The 12,083-nt window shown below is 40.4% G+C and overlaps 1 annotated feature.

Moving 5' to 3' along the window:
- Window positions 6,018-7,217: an enhancer, noted in NCBI's record as "MED14-independent group 3 enhancer chr18:75065347-75066546 (GRCh37/hg19 assembly coordinates)". NCBI's record gives its function as "activates an origin of replication core promoter dependent on BRD2, BRD4, P300/CBP and CDK7 cofactors, and independent of MED14, by STARR-seq in HCT116 cells {active_cell/tissue: HCT116}" and the evidence as "EXISTENCE:reporter gene assay evidence [ECO:0000049][PMID:35650434]".

Genomic DNA, 12,083 nt, shown 5'->3' with positions numbered 1-12,083 from the left:
TCTTTATAAATTACCCAGTCTTAGGCATTTCTTTATTAGCAGTATGAGAACATGCTAATACAATAACCTTGAGGAGAGTAATTTCAGACAGACATGTGAGCAGAGCACAGATAGAGTAAGTCCAGGAAAGAAAAGGGAACTGAAATTAAGTTCTTAATTACAGTGAACTGGAGAATTATTTTACTGTGAGGAGAGCTAAGAATAGAGCCTTCCTGTTGAGAGGGAATTGTGTAGGGGGTCAGATTCTGTCATTTGTATATTTCAGTATAGGAAATACTAGAGCATGTTTGTGTGTTGATAAGAAGATGTTGAAGGAAGATTATGAACTTTCAAGGAGGAAGGGCTTAATTATAGGCTTGAAAGAATAAGCAAGTAGAATTTATAATACAAGTGAAGAGATTAACCTTATATAAGAGGAGGAAGTGAAAGCAGAGAGAGTGAATATAGATTAAGGTAGATTGGTAGATTCAAAAGTGATAAAATAAAGAGAGTTTCCTTCTAATCATTTCTAACCAATTTCTCAGTGCGGTGTGAAACAAGATCATCATCCAAGTGTAAAGCGTTAAAGAGAGAAAGGCTGAAATAGTTGTTTTTGAGCAATGAGAGAATGTAGTGGTATTTTTAGGTTTTCTTGAGGGTTCACTTGAGACTTACTGACATGAATTAAAGTCAGAATGTGTTAGTCAATTTTCATACTGCTATGAAGAAATACCCAAGACTGGGTAATTTATAAAGAAAAAGAGGTTTAACTGACTCACAGTTCCACATGGCTGGGGAGTCATCACAATCATGGCAGAAGATGAAGGAGGAGCAAAGCCATGTCTTACATGGTGGCAGACAAGAGAGCGTGTGCAGGGGAACTCCCCTTTATCAAACAATCAGATATCATGAAACTTAGTCACCATCACAAGAGCAACACAGGAAAACCTGGCCCCATGATTCAATTACTTCCCACCTGGTCCCTCCCATGACACGTGGGGATTATGGGAGCTACAATTAAAGATGAGATTTGGGTGGGGACACAGCCAAACCATATCAGAGACCAATGACGAATGCTTGTTGGTTGAAACTACCAGTAATTTGATAACAAATTAATAGTAATAAAATGAATCTTTTAAAATTATCTGGCCTAGTCATTCACAAAACAAAAGCATCCATTGAAACGTCCTTAACTGATATTTGGTCACTAAAAGAATGTCTTCTATACTGGTATTAGTTACAACAACTTCTGCCTACCCCCAAAAGTTCACAAAATGGAAACATCCTAATTATGCAACAAGTACAATCTTTGTTGCTATATTGTTATGGACTTGATGCCTGGTTTTGTCATGAACAGGCCATGTAGCAGGGCTGGCCACCTCTGAGTCTTGGTTTTCTCATTTCCAAAGGAGAAAAATCACATTTACCATGAGGGATGTTAAACTGAGATTGCAGTCAGCACTCCATATCTGTGAGTTTCTAATCTGCAGATATGAAGGCTGGCTGTGCTAAGGCATTTTGTATCTGGGATTTGAACAACTGCTGATCTTTGCAAGGTCCTGGAACCAGTCCACTGTAGAAAAGAGGGGCCCCAGCACCCCCAAGGGAAACAAGTTTGGAGCCTGCTCTGTATATAGTTTCATAGGAGGAGGCACAGGTAAGCCCAGGCATGCTCCTCCTAAGCTCCTGCAGACACCAGCAGTGAATGAGCTGAGAAGGAAATTAAAAACGACCCATCTCACAGCCATGGCTCTATTTTTCTCCTCTCCACTGCCTTTTCCTCCCACAATCTGATAATGGGGGAGGGGGGTAGTGACTTGGGATGCTTCCATAGATGTGAGGGACTTAGTAACACCAGAGTCACACAAAAGTGAACGATGCCTTCCCCAGCAGAGGCCCATGAGTCACAGGGGAGCTTCACAGAACTCAGCTTAGATTTCTCTTGGGCTTTACATGGTTAACTTCAAGGAAGCTTGAAAAGTCCAGGTTCATATGACAGGAGTCAGTGTGTCAAAGATTCTATCAAGGTATTCCCTGAACTAACACAAGAAGTGATCTTCCTCTTGAAACCTCAGAGAAAAGCAAACCATGGCAGGAATCACCCAACATTTTATTGTAAGAGGTCTCTGAATCTATAAAATGCCTGTTAAACAAAAGTGTCAAAATGCTCTCAAATCAGCAGTTCTAGTACCCAAAAGAGATGGAAATCTCAGTCATGTGGACTATGTTACTCCAGGGATAAGTTATCTTCTGATGGGACACTGGATTCTGACTTCTATGATGTCGACTTCTTGATGAATCCCAACTTCCATCTTCCTCTCTCCCCACCCTCGAGCTATGAATGGGAACATCCAACGGCACAAATGTTCTTCATTTTCACTCATGGGAAAGTTGTGAGAGCCATATATCGATAGAAGGTTACAGCCTTAAAGCAAATTGACACTCGGACCAACTGCTTAATTTTTTTCAGTAGTTCTACAGAATCCTAGAGTGGCGAAGTGGCTACTCAAATGCATTCAGCAAGTTAAAAACTCAACTGGGGGCTGGGCACAGTGGCTCATGCCTGTAATCTCAGCACTTTGGGAGGCTAAGGTGGGTGGATCATGAGGTCAGGAGTTCAAGACCAGCCTGGCCAAGATGGTGAAACCCCATCTCTACTAAAAATACAAAAATTAGCTGGACATGGTGGCCACCTGTAATCCCAGCTACTCGGGAGACTGAGGCAGAGAATCACTTGAACCCGGGAGGCAGAGGTTGCAATGAGCCAAGATCACGCCACCGCACTCCAGCCTAGGCAACAGAGCAAGACTCCATTAAAAAAAAAAATCTAAACTGGGGAAACACAAGCCAAGAGCCAAGACCCTGTAGAATTTATTTTCCATGACTACATTCCTTATTCCTTGTATAATAATAATAATTTAAAAAAACATATCACCCCTAGTTTCAGGACTTTTGCATTCAAATTAACTTTAGTCTCATAGCTTCAATTTAACAGAAATGTTCATAGTGATAGTTCGTAGATATGGCAGAAAATCTTTCTTCAAATATCTCTTCTATGCTATTTTATGTCATGAAGTCTTGAATAATTACAATAAAAAAGCAATCAAGAAACCTAGGCTCCTTGGTGGAGCTTTTCTGGTGCACACGTGGCAATACAGTGCTCTCAGGGTATGTCTCAGGTTAGCATTTCCTCACTTTCTTAAAGGCCAGCCTGAGGTGATGCCTAATGCATTGGAATTGTGGTCATAAATTTAGTTCACTCTTGTAGCCAACAGTAAGAATTGTGGCTGCCTGGACCACTGTTTCCCCTGGCAAGAGCAGCTGAGATGCAGAGTAGACCCTAGGCGGCCACCCCAGCTCTCATGATTGATCCAAACAGAGTTGCATAATCAAAATTGATTTGATCAGAGTTTCTCTCCCAGTAATTTAAAATTTGGAATAAAAAGACACAGAGACTGAGAACACTGGGGATGAGATCCATTAATGGCAGCATGCAAGAGGCAATAGCCCTTCGGTTCCCTTGCTTGGCCAAGACACTCCATGCTGTGAGATAATTAACTATCCAGGGAGGAAAGAAATAAAATTGCCTCTCTTATCACACCCCAAAATCAACTACAGATGGATTAAAACATTCAATGTAAAGGAAGCAAAACAAACTACAAAAGCACTGGGGAAAAAAGCAAAAAACCCTAACAAACTCAACTTAAAAAATGTAAAACTTCTGTGCTACAAAAGATAGTCCTAACACATTACAGTGTGAGTGACAGAATGGATGGGAATCGTTGCTCTACACATATCTGATCCATGATCAATACACAATCGTACAACAATAGCCTCAAACCCATCATCATGTATACACTGGAAATAGTCAAAGAGAATGCATTGGCCATTTTCAGAGCATGGATTGCAATCATTCCTGTAAGAGTGAGTCTCGATGACTTTACGGATGAGGGGGTAGCATGTGCAAGGAAAATGGAGCAGGAAAGAGGGGATTTGGGAGAGCAAATCAGCCTCTGCTGTGGTCTGGACAAGATGTCTTGCCAAAGGAAAAATAAAGTCAAGTGAACACACTGCAGGAATGTCTTAGAGGATAACCAACAGGGTGGGACGGGACGGGTATCTGAGGGTGGAGGTAAAAGAAGGCGTTATCAAGGACAATGCCCAGTTCAGCTCTGGGGAAGATAAAGGCAGCCTTTACTGAGAAGCAGATCATGGGGCAGGAAGGAGTTTGGGCTTTGGGTGTCGCCATCATTTACTTTTAAATACTTAAGCAGAGACAGCACAATCAATACAAGTGTAAGGGTTAGTTTTCATCTGTGCATCCTGGGGGTGTTGGTTAATATTTGAACTATTCCAACCTAGAATATACACTTCACAAACCACACTGGAACATCTACAAACTCTAACTTGTCTTACTTAGGGTCAGCACCAGAGTTTGTGTTTTAGCACAACAGATGCTAGAAGTCATCTTTCACCAGTGAAATGAAAGCCATTTGAGACACACGAAATGGAGAGACGTGCTGCACAGACCCTCCCTTGTTGCATGAACAGGGTATAACAACCTGACAACTACAGGACGCTTAGAGCTCCTTGCGGGCCTATGTCTGCCACTCACAGAAAATTCACGCACGTAGTCCTGATAAGCAGGTTCACTTAGTCCTGCTGGTGATACTGCTGCCTCTCTCCCAAGTAAACCTTTCATGCAAGGACTTCATCAAGAGCCTAAAAGCATGTAGAAAGCCTGGGCGTCGTCGAGAGCAGGCTGGATCCCTTTATGCGTTTATTCCTTCATCCCTTTATGCCTTGCTTCTGGTCATGTTTCTAGACATGGCAGAATTCAGTGTGATTCTTGCTTCCCTGGTAACACACCACATGGTAACTAGGTTGTAGAAAGAAAGATGTTAGCCATCATCTACTTCTTACTATCAGAATCTATCAACTTGTGTGATAAAAAAAGTAATGAAACTGAGAAAAACCAAAGAGCATGAAATTTGAGGTGCTCTGTAGACTTTCGCATGGCAGTTACAAATAGGCAGTTGGATATATAGGTCTAAAGTTTAAGAATATATAATTTGGGGCCCTAAAAATATAGTTGATATTTAAAGCAATAGGATTGGTGAGTTTGCCAGGTGAACAAGTGCAGAGAAAAAGAAAGAATGTGTCAAGATTTGAAGAGCCCCAATATTTAAAAATAGTGTAGAAGAAAGAAAATTAGTAAAGGGCCAATGGAAGGAGGCAGAGAATTAGCAAAAACCCAGGAGAAGAGAATGTTATGGAAGCCAAAGCAAGAGAAACATTTAGGAAGAAAAGACGTGGCCAGCTGTGCCACGTTTATACAAAACCAAAGGTTTTGGTTTTGTATAAGGTTTGGATTTGGAGGGGAGAACCTGTTCTGCAACCCCGTAGTGTGTCTAATACCATGTCTGCTTATCTGTGAGCCCACCAGCTGTCTTACATAGCCCATTACATGCTAGGTGGTCTGTAAATTATAATTGAGCTACAGTAACACTTTGCAATCATAGAAACAGACTTTCATATAAATAGCCTTCATTTTAAGCATGAAAATGTTCTGAAACGGGCAACACTTACCTAATTTATTTATTATCTGTGTGAACAAATCAATATAGAGTGTTCACAGAGATCAAGCTTCTCACATCACAGAGAAAAGATAAAATAGGTTGAACAACATGTCATGACTTGAAAATAGCTCCAAAATATTTGGAAAAAAAAAACAACAAGATGTGAGTATGGTACATCAGTCACATAAAAAAAAAACAAAAGTGATATTTGCTTCTTTAATGTTTTTCATGTCAATTGCATAGAAAAAAACAGAATGAGTTTACAAAGCTAATTGTAACAATAATGACTTCTGAGAAGAGCATGGATGTGAGGGTTACATGATTTAAGAATATATGTAATTTTTAAAAATAAGCCTTATGTATGCTCATTGATGAAATGTGAAAATAGGTATAAATAACAGATTAAAGTCCTCATAACCTCACAACCTAGAGATAACTGTTGTTAATATTTTGGCATAGGTGGAGGATCAACATGGCGGAGGGGAGGAAGGACTAGACTGCAGCTCTGACTCGGACAGACAGAGCAGTGTGCAGAGGCTTGCATGGTGAATTTTAGCTCCAGAACGACTGGAGGAGCAAACCAGGAAACCTGAGAGGACCCACAGACCCTCTGAAGGAAGTGGATTGCACCTGCAAGACCCAAAGACACCCCAAATACTACTGTGAATGCCCAAACTGCGGAAGTGGGAAAGAGAGTTCCTCCACCCTGGCACACACTCCCCCACTGGGGAAACTGATGGTCTAGTTTGTGGGAGAAGTTTCTGACCTTACCTGGAGCTGAGTCAATTTAGAGAGCCAAGGAAATACGGGGGTAGAGGAAGCAGCAGGAAAGGCCCTGGGAGCTCGCTGGGTTCCGAAGCAGACCATTCCTGCCTGGCACCACAGGGATCCATTGGGAGGGTGGCCAGAGGCACAGGGAAAACGCAACGAGAAGGAAGTCTCCAGCTGAACTCTGTTAACAATTTGAACCAGGTGAGAAGCTTCCCGGCCAGAACTTGGGGGAGGGTGCGAATCTACTGTGCAGACTCCATAGGCGGGGAAGGAACTAAGACTTTTTCTTTCCCGTTGAGAGGCAGGTAGGCTGGGCAAGGTCTCAGCCCTGCACGCGGTCCTCCTGGAAACAGATTTGGGGCTGTTACGGGGGCAGAGTGGGAGTGAGACTGGCCCTTCAGATTACACAGGAATGGGGTGAGACCTGTGGCTGCCGGCTTTCCTCCACTTCCCCAACAACCTGCATGACTCATCAAAGGCAGCCATAATCCTCCTAGGTACACAACTTCCTTCACCTGGGAACCTCATTCCCATCCCCCACAGCAGCTGCAGCAAGACCTGCCTAAGGAGAGTCTGAGCTCAGACACGCCTAGCCCTGTCCCCACCTGATGGTCCTTCCCTACCCACTCTGGTAGCAGAAGACAAAGGGCATATACTCTTGGGAGGTCTAGGGCCCCACCCACCACCTGATCCTCCCTGCACTACCACAGCTGATGCTTTCTGAAAAACGCCACCTTCTGGCAGGAGGCCAACCAGCACAAAAATAGTGCATTAAACCACCAAAGCTAAGAACCCTCAGAGACCATCTCAACCCGCTGCCACCTCCACTGGAACAGATGCTGGTATCCATGGCTGAGAGACCCACAGATGGTCCACATCACAGGACTCTGTGCAGACAACCCCCAGTACCAGCCCAGAGCTGGGTAGACTTGCTAGGTGGCTAGATCCAGAAGAGAGAGAACAATCGCTACAGCTTGGTTCTCAGGGAGCCACATCCATAGGAAAAGGTGGACAGTACTATATCAAGGGAACACCCTGTGGGACAAAAGAATCTGAACAACAGCCTTTTCTTTAACAAGGAAATCCAAAAAACGATACAAGAAGTGAAGGGAGAAATGTTCAAGGAAATAGATAGCATAAAGAAAAAACAATCAAAACTTCAGGAAACATTAGACGCACATATAGAAATGCAAAATGCTCTGGAAAGTCTCAGCAATATAATTGAACAAGTAGAAGAAAGAAATTCAGAGCTCGAGACAAGGTCTTCAAATTAACCCAATCCAACAAAGACAAAGATAAAAGAATAAGAAAATATGAACAAAGCCTCCAAGAAGTCTGGAGATTATGTTAAACAACCAAACCTAAGGATATTCGGTGTTCCTGAGGAAGAAGAGAAATCTAAAGGTTTGGAAAACATATTTGGGGGAATAATGGAGGAAAACTTCCCCAGCCTTGCTAGAGATCTAGACATCCAAATACAAGAAGAACAAACAACACCTGGGAAATTCATCATAAAAAAGATCATTTCCTAGGCACATTGCCACCAGGTTATCTAAAGTTAAGAAAAAGGAAAGAATCTTAAGAGCTGTGAGCAAAAGCACCAAGTAACCTATAAAGGAAAACCTATCAGATTAACAGCAGATTTCTCAGCAGAAACTCTAAAAGCTAGAAGGGATTGGGGCCCTATCTGTAGCCTCCTCAAACAAAACAATTATCAGCCAAAAATTTTGTATCCAGCTAAATGAAGTATCATATATAAAGGAAAGATACAGTCTATTTCAGACAAGCAAATGCTGAGAGAATTCTCCACTACCAAGCCACCACTATAAGAACTGCTAAAAGGAGTTCTAAATCTTGAAACAAATCCTGGAAACACATCAAATCCGACCTCTTTAAAGCATAAATCTCACAGGGCCTATAAAACAAAAATACAATTTAAAAGCAAACAACAACAACAAAAAAAAAAACAAGGTACACAAGCAACAAATAGAATGATGAATGGAATTGTACCTCACATCTCAATACTAACATTGAATGTAAATGGCCTAAATGTTCCACTTAAAAGATAGAGAACTGCAGAATGGATAAGAACTCACCAGCCAACTAGCTGCTGCCTTCAGGAGACTCACCTAACACATAAGGACTCACATAAACTTGAAGTAAAGGGGTGGAAAAAGGCATTTCATGCAAATGGACACCAAAAGTGAGCAGGGGTAGCTATTCTTATATCAGACAAAACAAACTTAAAAGCAACAGCAGTTAAAAGAGACAAAGAGGGACATTATATAATGGTAAAATGCCTTGTCCAGCAGGAAAATATCACAATCCTAAACATGTATGTACCTAACACTGGAGCTCCCAAATTTATAAAACAATCACTAATATACCTAAGAAATGAAATAGATAGCAACACAATAATAATGGGGGACTTCAATACTCCACTGACAGCACTAGACAGAAAGACAACAAAGAAAAAATGGATTTAAACTATACTTTGGAACAAATGGACTTAACATATATATATATAAAGAACATTTCATCCAACAACCGAAGAAATCACATTCTATTCAACAGTGCATGGAACTTTCTCCAAGAAAGACCATATGATCGGCCACAAAACAAGCCTCAACAAATTTAAGAAAACTGAAATTATATTAAGCACTCTCTCAGACCACAGTGGAAAAAACTGGAAATCAACTCCAAAAGGAACGTTCAAAACCATGCAAATACATGGAAATTTAAAAAACCTGTTCCTGAATGATCATTGGGTCAAAAACGAAATCAACATAGAAATTAAGAAATTCTTCCTACTGAACAACAGTAATGACACAACCTATCAAAGCCTCTGGGAAACAGCAAAGGCAGTGCTAAGAGGGAAGTTCATAACCCTAAACACCTACATCAAAAAGACTGAAAGAGCACAAGCTGACATTCTAAGGTCACCTCAAGGAGCTAGAGAAACAAGAACAAACCAAAACCAAACCCAGCAGAAGAAAGGAAATAACCTAGATCAGAGCAGAACTAAATGAAATTGAAACAGAAAAAATACAAAAGATAAATGAAATGAAAAACTGCTTCTTTGACAAGATATATAAAATTGATAGACTGTTAGCATCTTGGTTAATCTTTAACCAAAGAAAGAAGAGAGAAAATCCAAAGAGCCTCATTAAGAAATGAAACAGAAAATATTACAACTGACGCCACAGAAATACAAAAGATCATTCAAGACCACTATGAACACCTTTATGCACATAAACTAGAAAACCTAGAAGACATGGATGAATTCCTGGAAAGATACAACTCTCCTAGCTTAAATCAGGAAGAATTAGATACCCTGATCAGACCAATAACAAGAAGTAAGATTGAAATGGCAATAAAAAATTACCAACAAAAAAATGTCCAGGACCAGACGGATTCACAGCAGAATTCTACTAGACATTCAAAGAAGAGTTGTTACCAATCCTTTTGACACAATTCCACAAGATGAAGAAAGAGGGAACCCTCCCAAATTCATTTTATGAAGCCAGCATCACCCTAATACCAAAATGAGGAAAGGACATAACCAAAAAAGAAAACCACAGACCAATATCCCTGATGAAAATAGATGCTAAAATCTGTAATAAAATACTAGCTAACTGAATCCAACAACGTATAAAAAGATTATCTACCATGATCAAGTGGGTTTCATGCCAGGGATGCAGGGTTAGTTTAACATGCACAAGTCAATAAATGTGATATACCACATAAACAGAATTAAAAACAAAAATCACATGATTGTGCAGAAGGTGTCAAATGCAGGAAAAGCATTCGACAAAATCCAGCATCCTTTATGATTGAAACCCTTAGTAAAATCAGCATACAAGGGATATACCTCAATGTAATGAAAGCCAACTATGACAAACCCACAGCCAACATAATACTTAATGGAGAAAAGTTGAAAGCATTCCTTCTGAGAACTGGAACAAGACAAGGATGCCCACTCTCACCACTCCTCTTCAACATAGTACTGGAAGTCCTAGCCAGAGCAATCAGACAAGAGAAAGAAATAAAGGGCATCCAAACTGGTAAAGAGGAAGTCAACTGTCACTGTTTGCTGATGATATAATCGTTTATCTAAAAAACCCTAAAGACCCCTCCAAGCTCCTAGAACTGATAAAAGAATTCAGCAAAGTTTCTGGATTCAAGATTAATGTACACAAATTAGTAGCTCTTCTATACACCAACATTGACCAAGCAGAGAATCAAATCAAGAACTCAATCCCTTTTACAACAGCTGCAAAAAATAAAAATAAAATAAAATATGTCTGTTGGCTACATAAATGTCTTCTTTTCAGAAGTTTCTGTTCATATCCTGTCCACTTTTTGATGGGGTTGTTTGTTTTTTTCTTGTAAATTTGTTTAAGTTCTTTGTAGATTCTGAATACTAGCCCTTTGTCAGATGGATAGATTGCAAATGCAAAAATTTTCTCCCATTCTGCAGGTTACCTGTTCACTCTGATGATAGTTTCTTTTGCTCTGCAGAAGCTCTTTAGTTTAATTAGATCCCATTTGTCTATTTTGGCTTTTTTTGCCATTGCTTTTGGTGTTTTAGTCATGAAGTCTTTGTCCATGCAAAAATGCTCATCATCACTGGTCATCAGAGAAATGGAAATCAAAACCACAGTGAGATACCATCTCACTCCAATTAGAATGGCGATCATTAAAAAGTCAGGAATCAACAGATGCTGGAGAGGATGTGGAGAAATAATGCTTTTACACTGTTGGTGAGAGTGTAAATTAGTTCAACCATTGTGGAAGACAGTGTGGTGATTCCTCAAGGATCTAGAATTAGAAATACCAATTGACCCAGCCATCCCATTACTGGGCATATACCCACAGGATTATAAATCATTCTACGATAAAGACACATGCACACGTATGTTTATTGCAGCACTATTCACAATAGCAAAGACTTGGAACCAACCCAAATGAATTAAGAAAATGTGGCACATATACACCACGGAATACTATGCAGCCATAAAAAAGGATGAGTTCATGTCCTTTGCAGGGACACGGATGAAACTGGAAACCATCATTCTAAGCAAACTATCACAAGGACAGAAAACCAAACACCGCATGTTCTCACTCATAGGTGGGAGTTGAACAATGAGAACACATGGACACAGGGCAGCAGGGCAGGGAACATCACACACTGGGGCTGGTCAGGGGGTGGGGGGCTTGGGGGCAGATAACATTAGCAGAAATACGTAACGTAAATGACGAGTTAACAGGTGCAGCAAACCAACAAGGCACATGTATACCTACGTAACAAACCTGCACGTTGTATACATGTAACCTAGAACTTAAAGTATAATAAAAATAAATAAATAAATAAAATACTTCGGAATATACCGAACCAAGGAGGCAAAAGACCTCTACAAGGAAAACTACAAAACACTGCTGAAAGAAATCATAGATGACACAAACAAATGGAAACACATCCCATGCTCATGGATAGGTAGAATCAATATTGTGAAAATGACCATACTGCCAAAAGCAATCTACAAATTCAGTGAAGTCCCCATCACAAAACCACCATCATTCTTCACAGAATTAGAAAAAAAAATTCTAAAATTCATATGGAACCAAAAAAGAGCCCATATAGCCAAAGCAAGACTAAGCAAAAAGAACAAATCTGGAGGCATTACACTACCTGATTTCAATCCATACTATAAGGTCATAGTCAGGAAAACAGCATGGTACTGTTATAAAAAT

The sequence above is a fragment of the Homo sapiens genome, chromosome 18 (assembly GCF_000001405.40).
Source record: "Homo sapiens chromosome 18, GRCh38.p14 Primary Assembly".
NCBI lineage: Eukaryota > Metazoa > Chordata > Mammalia > Primates > Hominidae > Homo > Homo sapiens.
The sequence above is the reverse complement of the archived record's forward strand: the minus strand, read 5'-3'. Positions and strand labels throughout refer to the sequence as shown.